This window comes from Homo sapiens, chromosome 4 (genome assembly GCF_000001405.40).
Source record: "Homo sapiens chromosome 4, GRCh38.p14 Primary Assembly".
Classification (NCBI taxonomy): domain Eukaryota; kingdom Metazoa; phylum Chordata; class Mammalia; order Primates; family Hominidae; genus Homo; species Homo sapiens.
In genome coordinates this window covers 88,285,454-88,308,303 of record NC_000004.12, presented here as the reverse complement: position 1 = coordinate 88,308,303, position 22,850 = coordinate 88,285,454, and the positions used below count along the sequence as shown (strand labels likewise).

At 42.2% G+C, this 22,850-nt stretch overlaps 1 long non-coding RNA gene across 3 annotated transcripts in view, besides 1 other annotated feature; it reads right to left on the bottom strand.

Moving 5' to 3' along the window:
• The window catches only part of PPM1K-DT (PPM1K divergent transcript), a 56,728-nt gene that overhangs the window by 33,354 nt on the left and 524 nt on the right, over positions 1-22,850 (bottom strand). The window lies entirely within an intron of this gene.
• Positions 10,983-11,949: an enhancer, noted in NCBI's record as "H3K27ac-H3K4me1 hESC enhancer chr4:89217507-89218473 (GRCh37/hg19 assembly coordinates)". NCBI's record gives its function as "activates a minimal SCP1, AML or CMV promoter by ChIP-STARR-seq in primed H9 embryonic stem cells {active_cell/tissue: H9 hESC(primed)}" and the evidence as "EXISTENCE:reporter gene assay evidence [ECO:0000049][PMID:30033119]".

Sequence of the window (22,850 nt, the reverse complement as noted above, 5' to 3'; positions counted from 1 at the left end):
GCATCATACTGAATGGAGAAACACTGAAAGCCTTTCCTGTAAAATCTGGAATATGACAAGGATGCCCACTTTCACTGCTGTCATTCAACATAGTACTGGAAGTTCTAGTTAGAGCAATCAGACCAGACAAAGAAATGAAGGAGATCCAAATTGGAAAGGAAGAAGTCAAATTATCCTTGTTTGCAGATCATACACTCTTATATTTAGAAAAACCTAAAAACTCCACCAAAAAACTGTTAGAATTGATTAGCAAATTCAGTAATGTTGCAGGATACAAAACCAACATACAAAATTCAGTAGCATTTCTATACATAAACAGTGAATTGTTTTTTCTATTTTTATGAATAACAATTCTAAAGTTTATGTATTTATGTATGTATGTATGTCTTTATTTTGAGAGAGGGTGTCACTGTCTCATCCAGGCTGGAGTGAAGTGGCTGGCACAATCTTGGGCTCACTGCACCCTCTGCCTCCTGGGCTCAAGAGATCCTCCCACCTCAGTCTCCTGAGTTGGCCTTTGTGCAAGGCTGCAGTTTTTGCTTTCACTTGACAGGATAATGGTCATTTGATTTATTTAATTGGGTGCCTTTAAGCCTAGGTTTATGGCTCAAAACCATTATGCAAACTGGGATTGTCATATTGCTATTAATTTTACCTCATATGTTCCCTTTTTAAACTTTGTATTTGTTACTTGTTAAACTTTTGCAGAAGTACGATTTCTTTTTTTTTTTTTTTTTTTTTTTTGAGACAGAGTCTCACTCTGTCACCAGTTGGAGTGCAGTGGCACGATCTTGGCTCACTGCAACCTCCGCCTCCTGGGTTCAAGCGATTCCCCTGCCTCAGCCTCCCGAGTAGCTGGGACTACAGGTGTGTACCACCATGCCTGGCTAATTTTTTGTATTTTAGTAGAGATGGGGTTTCACCATGTTCGCCAGGATGGTCTCAATCTCCTGACCTTGTGATCCACCTGCCTTGGCCTCTCAAAGTGCTGGGATTATAGGCGTGAGTCACTGCGCCCCACACCCGGCAAGAAGTACGACTTCTAACAGAATAACGCCAGCCTAGCACTTTGAGTTCATAGCGAAAGAATATATAACAGACAAAATGAAACTCAATTATGTATAATTATGTATAATTATGTATACTCCAGGTATACTTAGCCTGAGAGCCACTCCTTTTAAACCTCCCTTATTGCTCAAATGTGGCTTAAAGGGTTTTGACACTCACTCTAGCTGCCATTTACTCTCTCCAATGTGGAATCAGACCACCAAACCAGAATGGGTCCATCCTGGCACCGAGGAACAATCAAATCCTTAGCATGGTAAGGACATACTCAGAGTGGGTAAGGGAAAAAAACATCTAACTACAGGATGATTGATCGATGATGTTTTCAGAGAAAGATCTTAATCAAAAAGGGGAAATGTGAAAGTTGTCAGAATCAAAATGGAGTAACTGGCGCTAACAAAAATCATGACAAATAGATCTGGAGAAGGCTATGAAGACAGGGTTCTTGCACATAAATATTTGATAACAAAAACTATCACAAAAGACTGCAAAAACTGTAACCTTGCACAAAGGCCACTGCAACCTTACAAAAAAAAAATACTTCTGTGAGGACATCTGTCCAGCAACTGCTTGACCAATGTCAGACTGGAGTCACTCTTGTTATTGATGCTGGTAGCCAAAGATCATTATCTTAAAACAATTATGTCTTTTTAAAAAAAAAAAAAAACTTTTGTCTTCCGTTACCTCCCTGAATATACATGTTAGTTTACTATGTCACATAAATTCCCACTGCAATGCCCTATATCTGAATAAATATTTTCCTTTAGAGATCTTCTCTCCATTTATTATGTAAGTTGACAACGCTCAGCTATAAATGGTGACACCAAGAGATGAAACCAAGTCCATCTGCCATGGAACCCAGCTTAGTCCATTTTAACATTAGGCAGGAAGGTCTGTGAAAAAATGCTAGGAGCAGAATGATGCAAAAAGTGTAGTTGTGGAGTGAACAAGGGGTACATTTGTTTTAAGGAAACCAACCTGTGGTATATAGCTGGGCTGATAAAAAAACTGAAGGGGCACATGAAGGGCCATTGTAGAGTCAATGGTTCAGCTCCTTAGATCAGCACAAAACCAACCATTTTCAATTTCAGGAAACCAAGGTTCAAATGTTGTTTTGGAGAAACAAACCCTCACTATTGACCCTTAAAAGAGTTAAGGAACATTAGGCCATCTCAAAATGTTGCCAAAATCTTGCAACATCTATTCTTATTTATTGTTTCAGCTTATGTAACTGTAGGTGAAGTTATACACCCTCTTATCCAAGGCACCGATCTCTCCTGTTGTCTTACTGATGGATGCTTTTTGATGTTTTCTAGCTCCATATATCCTGACCTTTTATGACGCATAGGAAAAGAGATCCAAGTACAGGACTAATTGCCACTTCTATTTGAGTGAGCTATCTTTTTATTTCAATGTTTTATTACAAAATATATTGATTTACATGTATGCATTTTCCTTTTTTTTTTTTTTTTTGGAGACAGTTTCTCACTCTGCTACTCAGGCTGGAGTGCAGTGGTATGAACATGGCAACACAGCTCACTGCAGCCTTGATCTGCTGGGCTGACACGATCCTCCTGCCTCAGCCTCCCATTTAGCTGGGACCACAGGCGTGTGCCACTGCACGTGGCTAAGTTAAAAAAAAAATTTTTTTTGTAAAGATGGGGTCTCACTTTTTTTGCCCAGACTAGTATTGCACTCCTGAGCTCAAGCAGTCCTCCTACCTCAGCCTCTCAAAGTGCTGGAATTATAGGCATGAGCCACTGTGCTCAGCCTACATGCATTTTTAACTTATGGAAATGGTATTGTATTATATATCTCCTCCTGGGTTTTACATTTTTCCACTCAATGCTTATGTATTTAAAACTCATCTATGCCACTTAGCCTACATTTAAGCTGATGCTGCTCACCGTGGTATTAGACTCCAACATAGACACCCACCACATTTTACCTGTCCACTCTCCCAAGGATAAGCACCCAGATAGCCTCCAGCTCCTTGTCACCCAGAGCTGTACAGAGCTGTGATACAGCAAGCATCTATGCACATGTTCCCATATAACCCTGTGTGAAAATTTCTTTGGGCTATATACCTGGAGTAGAATTGTTGGATCATAGAATATATATTTTCTTTTCCTCTTTTTTTGAGAGAGGGTCTCTCTGTGTCACCCAAGCTGGAGTGCAGTGGTGCAATCATGATCAAGTGATCCTCCTACTTCAGCCTCCAAAGTAGCTGGGACCGCAGGCACGTGCAACCATAGCTGGTTAATTTTTTAAAAAACTTGTTGTGGAGACAGTGATATGGTTTGGCTGTATCCCCACCAAAAATCACATCTTGAATTGTAATCCTCATAATCCCCATGTGTCAAGGGCGGGACCAAGTATGGAGATAATTAGATTATGGGGGTGGTTTCTCCCGTGCTGTTCTCCTGATAGTGAGTGAGTCTCATGAGAGCTGATGGTTTTATAAGTGTCTGGAATTTCCCCTGCTTGCACTCACTCCGTCCTGCTGCCATGTGAAGAAGGTGCCTGCTTCTCCTTTGCCTTCTGCCATGATTGTAAGTTTCCTGAGGCCTCCCCAGCCATGGGAAACTGTGAGTCAATTAAACGTCTTTCCTTTACAAATTACCCAGTCTCGGGTATTTCTTCATAGCAGTGTGAGAATGAACTAATACAGATGAGGTCTCACTATGTTGTCCAGGCTGGTCTCAAACTCCTGGGCTCAAGTGATCCTCTCTCGCTTTGGCCTCCCAAAGTGCTATGATTATAGGAGTGATGCTCAGCCTCCTATCTCACTTTTTAATAGCTTTTATGAAGTATAATTCATCTTCCATATAATTCACTCGTTTAAAGTGGATAATTCAATAGTTTAAAATACATTCACAGGGTTGTGCAACTGTCACCACAATCAATTTTAGAACATTTTCATCACTCCCCCCAAATCCAGTATCCATGAATATTTACTCCCTATTTCTCCCCAAACTCCCAGACTCCTCAGCCTAGACAACCATGAATCTACTTCCTGTGTCTACAGATTTTCCTATTCTGAGCATTTCATATAAATGGAAGGGCACAGTATGTGGCCTTTTGAAACTTGTTTCTTTTACTTAGCATAATGTTACAAGGTTCTTCCATGTCATAGCATGCATCAGTACCTTATTCCTTTTTTCTTTCTTTTTTTTCTTTTTTTTTTTTTTTTTGATGAGCTGGAGTTTCACTCTGTCATCCAGGCTGAAGTGCAATGTTGCAATCTTGGCTCACTGCAACCTCCACCTCCTGGGTTCAAGCCATTCTCCTGCCTCAGCCTCGCAAGTAGGCATGTGCCACCACGCCCAGCTAATTTTTCTATTTTTAGTAGAGATAGGGTTTCACCATGTTGGCCAGGCTGGTCTCGAACTCCTGACCTCAAGTGATCCGCCTGCGTAAGCCTCCCAAAGTGCTGGGATTACAGGCGTGGGCCACTGTACCTGGCCTTTTATTCCTTTTTATTGCTGAATAATGTTCCATCCTATGACTGTATCACATTTTCTTTATCCATTCATTGGTTGACAGACATTTGGGTTGTTTGCAGTTTTTGGCCATTACGGATAATCTGCTATGTACATTCATGTCCAGTTGTCTCTTGGTATCTGTGGGGAACTGGTTCTAGGACCACCATGGATACTAAAATCCAAGGATACTCAAGTGCCTTAGTATTTGCATATAAACTACACACATCCTTTGGTCCACTGTAAATCATCTCTAGATTACTTATAATACCTCATACAATGTAAATACTATGTAAATAGTTGTATATTGTATTTTTAATGTTTATTACTGTTTATTGTATTATTTTTTAATGCCCCATCAGCTTTCAGGATATTATTATTTTTTATCTTTTTCCCCTAAATATTTTTGATCCATGGTTGAATGCAAGGATGTGGACTTCATGGACGTAGAGGGCCAAGTGTACATGGTTTTACAGAGGTGTGTATTTGTTTTAATTTCACTTGGGTATATACCTAGGAACAGATGGGTCGAATAGTAACTCTATGTTTAATGTTTTGTATATTGCCAAACGGTTTTCCACAGTGGCTGTACCATTTTGTATTCTCATCAGCAATATATGAGAATTTCTCCACATCCTTGCCTACACTCATGTGAAGAGGAAAAGCAAACAGTTTTTTCTCTCTACTCACACACTCAACGTAGAACACTTCTGTGACCAGATACATAAAGGTATTTCCTGACACACCAACTTCTCTAGTGGACACCAACTGGGTGTCCACTAGAGAATTCAATTCAATTCATTTCAATTCTGACACTATCTATCTTTAGATAGTATCAGATCCCACAGGCTGTTTCCCACAAGACTGCCCCCAACTTCCGACACCAATCCAAGTAGGTTGTCACCTATACTTCTGACCAATGGGCTATAAAATCCCCCGACACGTTTTCCAGAGTTTGGTGGGTAGAGCTGAAAGTTTCAACCCTCTAATCACTTGGTCTTTCTAGTGACCAGTCCCATCCTGAGGCTATCTCGGAGCCCCACCCTAGATAAAAAATACCAAAGGTTTTAGGTACTCTGTGACAGGAACTGGGGACAAAGACCAAAAGTATTTCATATTATACTACAATTTGTTAATGTCCATTTTTAAAAATTACAGCCATCCTTTTAGGTGTGAAGTGGTATCTCATTGTAATTTTTATTTGCATTTCCCTAATGACTAATGATGTTGCATCTTTTTGTTAGGTTATTGGCAATTTGTATATCTTCTTTGGAGAACTATCTATTCAGATTCTTCCCCATTAAAAAAATTTTTTTGGCTGGGCGCAGTGGCTCACGCCTGTAATCCCAGCACTTTGGGAGGCCGAGGCGGGTGGATCACAAGGTCAGGAGATTGAGACCATCCTGGCTAACACGGTGAAACCCCGTCTCTACTAAAAATACAAAAAAATTAGCTGGGCATGGTGGCAGGCGCCTGTAGTCCCAGCTACTCAGGAGGCTGAGGCAGGAGAATGGCATGAACCTGGGAGGCGGAGCTTGCAGTGAGCCGAGATGGCACAACTGCACTCCAGCCTGGGCAACAGAGCAAGACTCCTTCTCAAAAAAAAAAAAAATAATAATAATAATTTTTTTTTAGAAACAGGGTCTGACTGTCACCCAGGCTGGAGTGCAATGGCATTATCACAGCTCACTGCAGCCTCAACCTCCCAGGCTCAAGCAGTCCTCCCACTTCAGCCTTCCAAGTAGCTAGGACAACAGGCATGTGCCACTACACCCGACTATTTTTTTTTTTTTCTGGTAGAGATTGGGTTCTGGGGATAGGGAGTCTCACTGTGTTGCCCAGGCTGGTCTCGAACTCCCGGGCTCAAGTGATCTTGATGCCTCGGCCTCCCAAAGTGTTGGGATTACAGGCGTGAGCCACAGAGTCCAGTCACCAGTACAGCCATTTTTTCATTGAGCTATTTGTCTTTTCATTACTGAGTTGCAAAAGTTCTTTATATGTTCTGAATACAAGCCCCTTATTAGATATATGATTTACAAATATTTTCTTGGGCTAATTGCCTCTTAGCTTCAATGTCAAAAGTGGAACAGTATGTGAAGGTCAAAACAACTTCATCTTAGATGGGAGGTCAGAGTAACTCCATCTTGGACGGTAATCCTCCATGTTGACTTCAGATTAACCTCACTTCTGGGAATGCCTCTGAGATGTCCAGTTCATCTATTGTCCCTTGTGTGAGAGCATGTACTTACCATCAATCCTGCCCTCAGGGAAAATTCCTACTCCTTCCCTCCAAAGCCAGCCTGCCCCTCACCTCTGGTATATAAACCCTGGGTCTGGGAGGTAATAGTGTGGGGATCTGCCATCTTTTTTCACTGCCTCTGGTGACATAGACATGGCTTCTGTTCATAAGTCTCTATTAAATGTTTCCTTCTAAGAAATTGGATTTGTCAACCTCTTTCTTTGACTTCTCAGCTTCCTCGGATTTTGTGGTAGGTTTGGATAGACTGCCCACCACAGAAAAACCTGCCACCACTACTTACAGGATACTCCTGGGTAGATGTAGATTGGATTGACAAGGAGTGGAAGAAATTTCGAAAGCAGATTCTAGATTGGTTATGAATTCAGTTCAACTAATTTCCCACACTAATGAACACTACCTATGTACAAGCTATTTTAAGCCCATAGAGAGAAGTTGCAAGAAGTTTACAATCACAACATAAAGGAGTAAAGTGGAGACTGCTAACATTGCAAAATACTATAAGTAGAAATTGTTTTAAAATGTCAGTATCTCTAAGGCCTAGCAAATGTTCAGCACAACACCTAGTCCACAAACATTTGCTCAATATAACTAAGCTGAGATAAGAAATAACTATACGGGCCAGGCGTGATGGATCATGCCTGTAATCCCAGGACTTTGGGAGGCTGAGGTGGGCAGATCTCTTGAGGTCAGGAGTTTAAGACCAGCCTGACCAACATAGTGAAACTCCATCTCTACTAAAAATACAAAAGTAGCCGGGCGTGGTGGCACATGCCTGTAACCCCAGCTACTTGGGAGGCTGAGGCAGGAGAATTGCTTGAACCCAGGAGGCGGAGGTTGCAGTGAGCCAAGATCGCACCATTGCACTCCAGCCTGGGCAACAAGAGTGAGACTCCATCTCAAAAAACAAACAAAAAACTACATGGCAGAAAATTGAAAGTAACACAGAAATATAGACATCTGCTAGTATTGTAGCTGTCTAAATCAACCCTTGAAATGGAATAGGGGCAGAAGATGAGAAAAGTGGGGGCAAATGACAAAGAAAGAAAGAGAGATGAAAGGAAGGACTTTAAGAACATATCAAGGAGACCTGTGGTAAGATGAAGAAAACCTGGTGGGCAAAGCCAGGTTGACATGTGCTTCTAGGGATTAAGAATTTTTAAAGGGCAGGTGCCGTAGCTCACACTTGTAATCCCAGCACTTTGGGAGGCCCAAGCAGGCGGATTGCTTGAGCCTAGGAGACCAGCCTGGGCAACATGGCGAACCACATCTCCATAAAATATGAAATTTTGCTAGGCATGGTGGTGCACACCCATGGTCCCAGATACTTGGGAAGCTGAGGTGGGAGGATTACTTGACCTTGAGAGGTTGAGGCTGCAGTGAGCCGAGATCACACCACTGCACTCCAGCCAGAGTGAGACCCTGTCTCAAAAAATTTATATATTTTTAAAAACACTCACATAGGTAAAATCAGGTGAGCTCTTTTTGGACCAACAATTAAGGCTTCAGTGGATGTGAGGTTTCTTACTTGCCCCACTGTTCTCTGCCACACAATGTTTAATGTAGACAACAGAAAACATTGAAGGATATAAAAGGCCTAATTTTTCCCTAAGTAGCTAAAGAGGAAAGCAACAGAAACCATGCCATGAAGTGAGAACAGAAGTAGTGAGATTAATTTTAAATTCTATTTTCTTTTCTGCTTTCATGACTCAGCTAGGCCCACAAATGACCCTTGGAATTTTCTGATAGTAGCCAACTTTGCATGATGTTTACTTGATATAATTTCCCACTGGACAGTCCTCAATGCAGTAGAGGACTCAAGGAAACCGAAGATTCTTAATTCATTCATTCACTCACTCACTAACTTATCTAACCAATATGTATTCAGTACTTGGGCTCTGCTGTAGGTGCTATGGATGCAATAATTTATAAAATGAAGATCCACCCCTCCCGCTAGTCTGAGGAAAGGCAGACATAAATAAATGAGTAAATATCTGAGGTGCTAAGTGCTCTGAAGATGGGGATTGGCAAGGGAATAGATGGTAAAAGGAGCTGTTTTAGGCAATGATCAGGGAAGAGCCCTCTAATACAATTATCAGTGACCAGAGATCTGAATGAAGCAAGAGAATGGTCCCTGTAGCTGTCTCTTTTTTTTTTTTTTTGAGACGGAGTCTTGCTCTGTCACCAGGCTGGAGTGCAGTGGGGCGATCTCGTCTCACTACAGCCTCTGACTCCCTGGTTCAAGCGATTCTCCTGCCTCAGCCTCCCAAGTAGTTGGGATTACAGGTGCATGCCACCACGCCCAGGTAATTTTTGTAGTTTTAGTAGAGACGGGGTTTCACCGTGTTGGCCAGGCCGGTCTTGAACTCCTGACCTCGTGATCCACCCGCCTCGGCCTCCCAAAGTGCTGGGATTACAGGCGTGAGCCGCTGCGCCTGGCCTGTAGCTGTCTCTTGCAGAGGCCAAGGGACTCAGAGCAGAACCACCCTGGGGAGAGTAGAAGACAAAGTCAGAATAGAAGCCAGGAATAAATATACAACATTGTTTGCATTAACACTGAACAGTTTCTGTTTATATCCTTGGCCGAGTGTGATAGCTCATGCCTGTAATTTCAGCACTTTGGGAGGCCAAGGTGAGAGGATCGCTTGAGCCCAGGAGTTCAAGACCAGCCTGGGCAAAACGGCAAGACCCCATTTCTACAAAAAATAAAAAAACAAAAAAACCCCAGTTTATCCTTTTAGGAAAGGGGATGCAAAGATGTGTAGTAGCTACCATCTGGCCTAGCAATTCCACTTGTAGATAAATATCCAAAATCATGAAATCGTGTGGCCACACCAACACCTATATAAGAATGTTTATAGCAGCATTATTTGTAATAGCTAAGAAGTGGAAATAACCCAAATGTCCATCAACTGATGAACAGATAAACAAAATGCAATATCTACCACTTAAAAAAATGAAAATGCAGAATAGAACCTCACTAAACATAATGTTGTGGGTTAGCAACGGCTATCTGGACCAGTGGCGTGTGTGTAAAATAATTTACCAAGGCAGTTGTAGATAAAGAAAGGCAGATTTATTAGAGAAAGTATAAAAATATGTTGCCAGGGAGCAAGTGGTAGAATCAGAAGAAGAGCTGGCTATCAGGAAACAAAGGCTTGCTGGAGATTTTATAGACTTAGTGTTTATGCTGTATGCTCAAGAGGGCTTTGTGCAGTACTGATAATGCCAAGGTTGCGGTGAGCTAACTTGCAGGTGTCTGCTGATAGCTGGGTGCGGGATGATTGTGAGTTATTTGTGTAGAAGGGCTATGTGTCCCGGACCATGAAGAAAGGCAGACTTACAGCTTATCGGCTTTCTCTTTTTGCTTTCCCTTGGTCCCACCAACCTAACTCCTTTTCTCTAATGAGGGCTCCACACATATGTGTAAGCGATCATTTGTCTTTAATAAGGTACCAAAAACTTGCTTTCTCATAGCAGAGTAGTCAGGATAGTTGTTCTTCTTACATGGTGCCAGACTTCCAAGAGGCAGGGAGTGGAAGTTGCTAGTCCTCTAAAAGGTTAGGGATTACTTCACTGTATTTTATTTGTCAGAGCAGTCACAGTCAGCTCAGATTCAAGAGTACAAAAATAGAATTCACCTCTCGATGGAGGAATAGTATGTGAGCACAGGAAGGAAAGAACTGGAGATAAGCTATCACAAAGATAGAATGGGTTGGGGAGCTAGAAAACAGATTTAATATGTCAGGAGCCACTAACAACTGAAGATCAATCTAGAATTAAAGTAATTAAAATTCAGATATACATGATAGTGGATTGAATTGTTGGTCTCAAGCCTTCACCCTCCATGCATCCACACACTTGTCATATGGAGAGTAAACTTCCCTGCCTCTTGATTTTGGGCTTAGCCATATTGTATTCTTTATCTATTGCTGCATCCCAAACCATCCCCAAATTTAGTGGCTTAAAACAACTATGCAACAATTCTGCAGGTTGGATAGGGGTTCTTTTGCTGCTCTTACCTGGGATCACTCATGAAGTTACATCCAGCTGTTGGGTCAGCTGAGAGCTGAGCTAGGAAATTGGGATGCTTGGGCCTCTGTCCATGTGGGCTTTCATTCACACAGAGGTTAATCTGAGCTGGGCTTCCTGATCCTCCTGTCTTGGCTGTAGCATTCCAAGAGGGTGTGAATGGGACTGCAAGGGTCTTATTAGACTACGGCTTACAAGCCATAAATTTCACTTCTACTACATTCTATTGGTCAAAGCAAGTCACAAGCTCATATTCAAGGGGCAAGGAATACATGCAGGGGGAGAAAACTCTACCTCTTGATGGGAGGAACTGAAATTGATTTATGGTCATGTTGAATCTACTGCATATTGATGGCAGCAGTGTGCCATCTGCAGCAGCGGCTGCAGCAAGGAGGCACAGCTGGGGCTGCATGCTGCATAAACCTGGCGGGAGCTGAGGACAAATGGGAGACCCAATCCTTCCAAGTTGGAGCAGGAGCTTCCTGTGTGTGACTGTCACCACCCAAGCCACAGCTATGGATCTGGGCATCCCTGTGCTCTTAGGGCCTGGGGACTAGGCAGGAGCCCCACCCTCCTGGGCACAGCTGCATCTCTCCAAACTGTGGCTGCAGACCCAGGCCTCCTGTTCCAAGGAGCAGGAAGGAGCCCCACTCTCCCCAGTGCAGCTGCAGCCACCCAAACGGGCTGTGGACCCAGGCATCCCTGCACTCTTGGGGGCCCTGGAAGGCCACCCTTGCCCTCACAGGCTCAGAAATGCCTGCTCCCACTGCCTGGCTTCTCTCTGCTGTCAGTGCCTACTCTGATCTCAGAACAAAGTCAGGGCCAAACCTGGGTGCTGTCACAGCCAGGCTGGGTGTCCACACGCTCGGGGCAATGTTGACACACCAGCCCCCTGCTACCTTGGCCCCCTCCAGATTTTGGGTGCTGACAAGCATAGGAGGGAAGCTGAAGTGGGGGGATGCTGAAAGCAGGTTGGCACTGGTCTGAATGCACCCCTTGGCACCTACAGCCTGGGTGCCATGAACAGCAGCAGGATGCAAACATCAGGACAACCAGCTGCAGAGAGGAGCTACCCACTCTAGGGCTTCCTCTCTGCTGAGAGCAGCAGACATTAGGACGACCAGCTGCAGACAGGAGCTACCCACTCCACGGTCTCCTCTGAGCTATTGTCAGTCAATAGAGCCCCTCTTTGTCTTGCTCACCCTCTACTTGTCTGCATACCTCATTTTTCCTGGGTGCAGGACAAGAACTTGGGACCCACCAAATGAGGCTAAGAGTTGTAATGCAAACAGGACTGAGACATGCCCCTTGCTCACAACGTTGTGGGCAAAGAGAAGGAAAGAAGAGGTGCAGCCCTTTGGGGAGCCCAGACTTGGCAGCCCCCCGATCCAGGACTGTGATTCCCTCTTTGGGGCCCTGAAATTCCTGGCATCTTCAAGCTTCTGAGTGCCACCATGTTCCCAGTGCCAGCTGTGGAAGCTGCTTGTGGTGTACCTGGTCCAGCCACAGACTTGCAGGGTGCCAGCACCTGTGCTGCCCCTGCCCGCTGCAGCAGGGGCATGTCTGACTGTCCAGTGGTCGGACACCATGCTTGCCCACACACCCTTCACCGCTCCACGCAGTATCCCTTGGCAGGCATGGGATTCAGGCCAGTAGCATGAGCCAAGAGCGGCCTACCAGGCCAAGTGAGTGGAATGAACCTAGCAGGCCTGAGCAAACTCAGGCAAAGGCACAACTGGCCAGATAGGTTTCTGCTGAAAAAAGTGACACCCCAAAGATCCCATAACGATATGTGACTCCTTTTGGCCAATGGCATGCAGACATCATGACAATGTGCCCAGTTCCAGGTCTAGGTGTTAAAAACCCTTGAGTGCTTCCTCTCAGTCTCTTATGCTTCTGCCATCATCACAAGAACAGGCCTCGGGTATCGTACTTGTTCAAGAAGAATGAGACATGGAGGGCAAAGTTGATTCGGCCAACCTGCAGCCCTGCAGTGAGATGCAGAGCTGCCCAGCTAAGTTAAACCCAGATCAGCTAAACCCCAGCTCAGCTGTAGAAGAACATAATAAATTGGTATTGTTTTAAACTAAAGGAAGAAAAAAAATCCTGTTTTTTTTTTCTTTTTTCCTGAGACAAGGTCTTGCTCTGTCACCCTGGCTGGAGTACAGTGTCATGATTATGGCTTACTGCAGCCTTGAACTCCTGGCTCAAACAATGTCCCCTCCTTACCCCGGACTACAGGTATGTGCCACTTGTAGTGGCCACCTCGATTTTTTTTGGTAAAGACAGGGTCTTACTATGTTGCCCAGGTTGGTCTTGAACTCCTGACCTCAAGTGATTCTCCCACCTTGGCCCTCATCAAGTGCTAGGATTATCAGCATGAGCCACCACACCCGGCCTGCAACTGGACAAATTATAATGCTAACCCTCAAATGGCTCAAAGATTGGGCATAAAACCCAAATCGGCCCCATCAGAATTTTTTTTCTTTTTTCTTTTTTTTTTTTTTTTTTTTTTGAGACAGAGTCTCACTCTGTTGCCCAGGCTGGAGTGCAGTGCACGATCTCCGCCTCCCAGGTTCACACCATTCTCCTGCCTCAGCCTGCCGAGTAGCTGGGACTACAGGCGCCTGCCATCATGCCTGGCTAATTTTTTGTAATTTTAGTAGAGATGGGGTTTCACCCTGTTAGCCAGGGTGGTCTTGATCTCCTGACCTCGTGATCTGCCCACCTCGGCCTCCCAAACTGCTGGGATTACAGGCGTGAGCCACGGCGCCTGGCCCAGAATTTTTTTTTCTAAGAATCCCTCTCCTCCAAAGCCAGCCATAAAATGTAGAAACACTATTCTAACTTTCCCTTGCCTTTCCGTGTAGGAGCTGGCCATAAAAATATTCTCTGACCTACCTTGTCTGATAGTAGGTCATACAACCCTCATTCCAGAAGGGTGCTGTCCTATACCCAAGAGGAAGGAATGCCATGCAGAGACCCAGAAGAATGAACAAATAGGCCTTGCTGGGTTTCCCTACTCAATCTATCACCATTAGATCCTTCTCTTTTTGTCCAATCGCATTTCTACACAGCAGTCCATTTTTCATCGAACCTAAACATACAAATAGACAGTTTTCTCTGGGTCTTTGGCTTTCATTTCTGAAGCCTTTCATGTCACAAAAAACTTTGATTAAATAAATTTTTTGCACCTTTCTCTTGTTTGTCTTTTGTTATAGGAGTGTCAGCCACAAACCTTCTCATGAATGAGAAAAGGTATCACATATTTTCACCCCTGTGCAGGGCTATTGTGGTTCCCCATGTTTACCAGAGACCCAGCTTCCTCCCTGGAAGGAAGATGGCACTGCTCTGCCATCTCGACTATGTCACTTCATGATCCAAGATGATTCTTAAGTTCCAGGACAGCAGTGACAGAAAGGTATGCCTGCATCCTTGTGTTGCGGCTTTCTGGAAGTTCACATATATCTACTTACACCTTATCAGCACTGAAGTTAGCAGTACAGCCAGACTAATTATAGGAAAGGTTATAAAACAACCTTATATTTTGGTCAGCAATGTGCCTACATAAGAATCGGGGTTCTGTTACTAAGGAAGAAGCATAAAATGGAAATCAGATTAGACATTTAGCTGTCCATGCCACAATATGTAATGGATCTCACCTCCTGGGAGCAACTATGTTAGTTTCTCAATAATGACTACACTAGTATGTCTATGATCTCTTTCAGCTCTGATCTATCCATTCCTATTTTCAGCAGTTTTGTTATATTTTCAAATTTTCTCAAATAAATCTCATAATTTTTCATGTTCAGTACCTGTACAACTAAGATTTGTAAATTCCTTTAAGATGGCAAATATGTTTTTATATATATATATATATATATATATATATATATATATATATATATATATATAAAATTGCACAGGACCCACTGTGGCTGCTAAATGATGACTGAAGTCAATTATTAAGACAGTTCACCTTTCCTCATTCTCTTTCTTTTAGAAAATAGGCCAGGCGTCGTGGCTCATGCCTGTAATCCCAGCACTTGGGGAGGCTGAGGCAGTCGGATCACTTGAGGTCGGGAGTTTGAGACCAGCCTGTCCAAAATGGTGAAACCCCGTCTCTACTAAAAATACAAAAATTAGCCAGGCGTGGTGGCGCACGCTTGTAATCTCAGCTACTCAGGAGGCTGAGGCCTAAGAATGGCTTGAACCCGGGAGGCAGAGGTTGCAGTGAGCCAAGATCATGCCACCGCACTCCAGCCTGGGGAATAGAGTGAGACTCAGTCTCAAAAAAAAAAGACAATAGATTAATAAAGAAAATCTTAATATAAGTTCTAGTCTTATTGAATAACATGTCATTACTTGATTCTTTCCTGGTACTAGAAATGGTCAGAAACTTATCCTTTATGTACAGTGTATTTCATTTGTGGAATGTATCAAAACAGAAATCTGACTTTTGTTAAAGTAATTAATGTGTTTTAAACAGAGATTATTCAGAACATCTTTTTTTTGTTTGTTTTTTTAAGAGATGGGAGTCTCACTCTGCCACTCAGGTTGGAGTGCAGTGGTGCGACCATAGCTCCCTACACTCTAAGTTCTGGGCTCAAGTGATCCTACTGCCTCAGCCGCCTCCCAAAGCACTTGGATTGCAGAACTGAGCCACCACGCCTGGCCCAGAACATCCTTAAAATGTTTAACCTCGCTGAACTATGTACAGAGAGGAAATGTAGTAAGACGATATACCTTGGAGACTAAGGGGCCTAGGTGAAAATCCCTGCTGTTCCACTGTATGGCCTAAGGCACGTCATTAACTTTGTGCCTCAAAATTTCCTCATCTGTAACATTGGGATAGTACTATCTATATCAAAGGGCTATTGCGTGGATATATGTAAGGTTTCTGTAAAAACTGACATTGAATAGAGGTTAATGGTGGGCAAACAAAGACATTTATAGGAAGAACATATAAACTATCAATCAGTTCAGCTTTCATTTTCTATTTTTGAGAGGTAAATAGCACAGTAGTTAGGAATATAAACTGTGGAGCCAAACTGCAAGGATTCATATCCTGGCTCCATCATTTACAAGCTGTGTGACCTCAGGCAAGTTACTTAACCTCTCTCTCTGTGCCTCATCTGTAAAATGGGGATGACAATAACAACACTGGCCCTTCTCTTAGGGCTAATGTAAGGATTAAGTGAGTTGATACATGTAGAACATTTAGAACAGTGCCTAGACAGAGGAAGCATTTGTAAGGGTTAGTGTCATGGTTAATTTTATTTGCCAATTTGGCTAGGCCGAGGTTCTCTAATATTTTGTCCAATGCCAGTCTAGCTGTGAAGGTATTTTCAGATGGGACTAATATTTAAATCAGTAGACCTCATCTGGAAGATTATCCTCCATATGGGGGTAGCCCTCAACCAATCAGTTGAAGTCCCTAAGAGAAAAAGACTTAAGTCACCCAAAGAAGCAGGAATTCTACCTGCTCCATGGCAGGAACAGCCCATGGAAGAGTTTGAATACCAGCCTCAGAAGTTTAGGATTTTTTTTTCCCCTACTGGAAATGGGGAGCTAGTGAAACTTTGTGAAATAATGTCATAAGATGAAAAGAGTATCAAAAGGTGTTGGATTCGTTAGGAGGAGGGAGAAACTAGGGAAAGAGAGAACAGGTAGAAAATAGTACAGCCTTGCATTATACAGGGGTATCCAGTTTGTTACTGGAAGAGCAATGAGCATCTTTTCCTTTACTCTTTACATTGAAATACATTTCAGGCCATACAGAGGTCCCTCATGTGGGCAGCCTGCTGTCCCTCTCTTGGTCCCCTTCCCGTTTTTCCTTTGCTGTAATTCTCCTTCTTCCCAGATTCCAGCTTCCTATCACTTCGTATGGTCTATGAGAAGACAGGGTGGGGTTAGGAAACATCATTTTTGCTGTCATTTGTGACCTGGGTAAGGTCTTTCCTGGTTTCACTGTGGCAGAATGACTGTGGATTCTTATTTCCTTATATTAATTAAAGTATATTCAAGAAAACAGATCTCTCTTGCACATTTCTCATAGCACAAAATTTGAATTTTTAAACTTTTTCTGGAGTATTTTTGCATATAAAATCTAGATTGCCCAAAGCCACAATAACTTATAAAACTGGCCCTGGTTTAAAGTCTATATCTAACACTGCTAGGGAAAGAAACATAGCTGGTTCCTTTCCCAGAGTATGTCAATTAGCTGGAAAAATAATACTTTCTTTTCTGCCATTGGAAGAGAAACTGACCAATAGAAAAGCAGTTCAGCACCTACACCCACTCGGTACAAAATAAGGCGGTGTGTTTGTACGTGCATTTGGTTGCTTGACAACCAGTGACAAACAGGCTTTTCATCATCTCTTACAATGTTACCTTGATATTCCAAACTCTAATATAAAGGAGACTCAGAAGAGAGCGATGAGTTTAGAAAACTGGACATCATTTCCAATAGGATATAAGCATACACACTTCCAGTGTTACAGATTTCAAAGACAAAGGCAGTTTCTCTTAATACTGCGTGCATTTTTCTGTTGTTCAGCTTGGACAAAACTAATTATTTATACATTCACTTCATTCCACTGACAAGAAAAATATTTATTGAATATTCTTTATAGGGATTACAAGGGAATTTTTGGCCTGTTTCAGCCATATTCTAATAGCGCATTAGCAGATATTACTTGGCAATAAACATTGACTTTTAGATTATCCAAGGTATAATTTTCACTGTGTTATTATGCACCATTTCCCACAGCTAGAAAGATACAACATTAATTTAAATGTGTTTGTATGTTGCTTTATAGGGTTTTCAATTTTTTAAACTACATATTTATAGGCTTCTTCAATGCACTGTAAAAGCTTCAAAGAATAATAACACTGCTTATTTTTATGGGACACTTATGTTCTCTACCTAATTGATTTCTGGAAGTGATTATATAGGTTAGCCAGGGCAGGTTATATTTAGTGCTGTTTTACAGATAATGAAACAGAGGCACAGGAAATTGGGTATTTGCTTGAGGACCCACATGGGTCAAAAGCAATGTTAGCCCTGAAGGGCTTCGGATTCAAATATAAGGAATGTTTTCTATCTTTTCAAGATACTTCTTGAATTAGAAACTTGTTTTCTCTTTCTCCATTGTTTCTTGGTAGCTTTGTATAATATTCAACCACACTGAATAACACTATACTTTTTCACTTGTAGCATTCATCATACATAGTTGCCTACCTTCAAATTTTCCTTCCAATTTTCATGAAAGCAGAGACCAGGTTTATATTGTTCATTTATTGCCATGAGTCCACAGCCTAACATAGTTTCTGATAGATAGTATGATCTTCATGAATATTTATTGAATAAATGTATGAAAATTTCCCTTAGGCTAAAATTACCCCAAGAACAATTCAAGTAAATAATTTTAAGTTAATTTTAAGTTAGGGTTAATATTTCTATCAGTTGAGATAGGATACATGAAGTTAGGTTAAGATCCAGTAACAAACTACATCAAAGGTTTGTTTCTTGTTCATGTTCCATGGCTATCATAGGCTTGCAGTGGAATTCTCTTCCTTGGAGTCATTCAGGGAGCAGCCATTCTCTGGAACATTGCTGGTTGCAATGGCAGAGGTGAGTGAACCTTGGAGGGTCTTGCACAGGGATACGAAATGCTCACTCAAAAATTACCCCATCACCTCCACTCACAATTCATTGACCAGGACAAGTCACAGATGCCTGCCTTCGCCTGGCACTACTGGCTTGGGTGATGAAGAACAGTAAACATTTAGCAAACAATGCTAATAATGACTATCATATTTCGCTTCCTTGATTTTGAGCATTTTGTGATTTAAATAAAACACAATTTTGTATAACCTTTCTTACAAAATACATTTACAAAATATGATTGTTCTCACAACAGCTCTGATGGGAAACATGCAATTAAAGGCTTGAATAAGGGTCAAATAGAATGAATAATAGTCAAATAATCGGAGGTGGAAATGGAAAGACATTTCAAATCTCTGTAGCATTGGTACTGGTCGAAGTTTTTTTTTTTTTTTTTTGAGGCAGAATCTTGCTCTTTTGTTCAGGCTGGAGCGCAGTGGCATGATCTTGGCTCGCTGCAACCTCTGCCTCCCAGGTTCAAGTGATTCTCCTGCCTCATCCTCCCGAGTAGCTGGGATTACAGGTGCACGCCACCACACCCAGCTAATTTTTGTATTTTTAGTAGAGACGGCATTTTGCCATGTTGGTCAGGCTGGTCTCGAACTCCTGACCTCAAATGATCCACCCTTCTCGGCCTCCCAGAGTGCTGGGATTACAGACATGAGCCACTGCGCCTGGCCTGAAGCTTATTTATTCCAAATTTTTAGAGGTAAATTATACAGGGTGGGGGAAGCAACAATCATATTTTAAAATAAAATCATTGCTGCAAGTTTAATTGCATCCAAGGACAAGATTTCAAATTCTCTCTCTCTCTTTTCTTTTCTTTTTTTTTTTTAAAGAGACAAGGTCTTGCTTTGTTGCCCAGGCTGGAGTGCAGTGGCATGTTCATAGCTCACTGCAACCCCAAACGCCTGGGATCAAGTAATCCTTCCACCTCAGCCTCTCAAGTAGTTGGGACTACAGGCATACATCACCATGTCTGGCTAATCTTTTTTTTTTTTTTTGTAGAACAGGGGTCTCACTATCTTGCCCAGGCTGGTCTCGAATTCCTGGCCTCAAGCTGTCTTCCTGCCTTGGCCTCCAAAAGTGGTGGGATTACAGGGATGAGCCACTGCAACAGACCTAAAAATTCTCTATGTCAGTGTTTTGGCAATTATCTTGGTAACACAGAGAAGGGACATCTGGGCTAGCAATTCAGGACAGAGCAGCCTGAACTGTGGAAAAAATACATCCTAGTATCCCAGGCCCATGTTTTAGGCATGAGGCCAAGAGTAGCCTACAGATACTTTTCTAGAAAACTGCTGATTCTGAGTATACAAAAATGTCCATATCTAATTTTAACAACAAATGATTCATTAGTGAATATTAATAATTCTGCAATTATACATACCACCCACCCACCCAAAGCCCTGTGAATTGTTTTGGGTGTAATTTTCTGATAGCCAGTGGTTTTCAGCAGATGGTCCAATTCTTTAAAATATAAACTGAGCTGGGCACAATGGTGCATGCCTGTAGTCCTAGCTACTCCAGTGAGGCGGGAGAATCATTTGAGCCCAGGAATTCAAGGCTATAGTGCACTATTATCACATTTGTGAATAGTCCCTGCAATCCAGCCTGGGAAACACAGGGAGACCCTGTCTCTAAAAAAAAATAAGTAAATAAAATAAAATATAAACTGAATAAAGAAGTAGCTCAACTTAATGAATGTACGGAGTGCCATATCCCCTTGATTATTTTGTACATTGTGCAGTGATCTGTCATGCCAAGTCAGCCTCTGTGGTGAATTCTTTTCCATTTTTTAATTTTTTGTCAAATACCAAATAATGATTTCCTTTACACATTATTCACATTTTAAAAGCTTTTATTTTAGGTTCTGGGGTACATGAACAGGTTTCTTATACAGATAAACTGCATTTCATGGGGGTTTGGTGTACCAATAATTGTGCATTTTATTTTATTTTTTTGAGACGGAGTCTTGCTCTGTCGCCCAGGCTGGAGTGCAGTGGCGCGATCTCGGCTCACTGCAAGCTCCGCCTCCCGGGTTCACGCCATTCTCCTGCCTCAGCCTCCCAAGTAGCTGGGACTACAGGCGCCCGCCACCACGCCGGCTAATTTTTTGTATTTTTAGTGGAGACGGGGTTTCACCGTGTTAGCCAGGATGGTCTTGATCTCCTAACCTTGTGATCCACCCGCCTCGGCCTCCCAAAGTGCTGTCACCTAGGCTAGAGTACAGTGGTGAGATCATGGTTCACTGCAGCCTGGACCTCCTGGGCTCAGGTGATCCTCCCACCTCAGCCTCCCGAGTAGCTGGGATCACAGGTATGCGCCACCATGCCTGGCTCATTTTTGTATTTTTTTGTAGAGACCATGGTTTTGACATGTTGCTCAGGCTAGTCTTGAACTCCCAGCTCAAGTGATTGGCAGCCTTGGCCTCTCAAAGTGCTGGGATTACAGGCATGAACCACTGTGCTGGCCATGAATTATTTTTGTGGTGTATTTAGCTATGCTTCAGAGATTCAAAACCCAGAAGCATATAATTCAAAAGAAGTAAACTGCTGGCTTTAATTTTAATGAGCTGTGGTAGAGTGTGAAATGGTGTGATTTTCAAAGGCAATTTCAAGGACTGTTTTAGTATCAAAGATATTCTTCAGAACAGCCTAAGTGGCTTTGCTTATCATGTGACTCTGGATTCCAGTCTGTTTTGGTACAAGGATTTAGCAAAGTCATGATGTTCTCAGATGCTGGGCATGCAAGTGGTTATAAAAAAGGTCAAAACTCCAGGACAATTCAAAATATTTTACACTTCCAAGCTTAAAATTTCCCACATCTTTCTTGTTACCAAAATTTTTCACATTTGTGAAAGCAAAGTCCTCATTATCTGCACCAAATTTTGATCCAAATGATTGAGATATTGCAACACATGATACTACATTATTGATGAGCAGATTTTTAAAAACTTAATAGTAACTTAGCTACCAAAATACTCCATCAAATGAAAGCCATCACCAACAGATATGTAGTAGAATGCTCATAGTAGCACTATCTATAATGGCTCTAAATGGCAAACTGCCCTAATGTCCATCAGAAGAATGAATTCATAAATTACAGTATATCCACAGAATGGAAAACAAAATGAATGATCTACAACTGCATACAACAATATGGAAGAATCTCACAAGTGTAATGTTGAGTCCAAGTAGCCAGAAACAAAAGAACACATACTTTATGGCTTTATATATAACAAGTATAAAGATAGGCAAAACTACCTATGCTGTTGAAAGTCAGCATAGAAACTCCCCTTGGAAGAAGGCAGTGCCTGGAAGGCAGGTTGATGGGGTTCCCAGGTATTAATAATGTTTTGTTCCTTGATCTGGGTGCTGGATACAAAGGTGTCTGCAGACTGTGAAAATTCATTGAGCTGTCTACACTTAGGATATGTGCACTTTTTAAGACACATGTTTCAATAAAATTATTATTTTTTTAAATTCCACGCCAGGTACAGTGGCTCATGCCTGTAATCCCAGCACTTTGGGAGGCTGAGGTGGGTGGATTGCTTGAGTTCAGGAGTTCAAGACCAGCCTGGGCAACATGGGGAAGCCCCATCTCTACAAAAAATATAAACATTAGCTGTGTATGGTTGAGCGTGCCTGTAGTCACAGCTACTTGGGAGGCTGAAGTGGGAGGATCACTTGAGCCTGGGAAGCAGAGGTTTCAGTGAGCTCAGATAGCGCCACTGCACTCCAGCCTGGGCAGGAGTAAAACCCTGTCTCAAAAAAAAAAAAAAAAAAAAAAAAAAAAGAAAGAAAGACAAAAGAAAAAAAAATCCAGGAAGTCTATGAAAAGACATCAACTCAACATAATATTACTCAAGGTTATTACTATAATTTGTGAGCCGTCAATATGAGAGTCACTCTCTAACCTGGTTATTAAATGCACTGGATTCAAAACAGTTGTCCCTGGCCTAGAATAACTAAAATGCCAAATCAAGTTAATTATTTATCTTTAAAATCTCTAATCTCTCTGCTCTTCTCTCCCTTCAGTGATATTGTCATAGTTTAATCAAAGTCATCTTCCACCTTAAATTTCATCTGTCATCATCTCCTAATCAGTTTCCCAATAGCTTATTTTAACTGTTCTTTGCACACTAACCAAAGTGATGTAAAGTCTAAACCCAGACCCTTTCACTTCTTTTTTTCGAATGCCTCAATAGAAGCCCATTAAATTTAAAATGTAATGCCAACTCCAAGCCCCTGTCTGCCTCATCTCTCTCACATCATGCTGTTCTTTCCCTCCCTCAATATGCTGGAGACACTTTGGCTTTCTTTCTGTTCTTCCAAAACGCCGG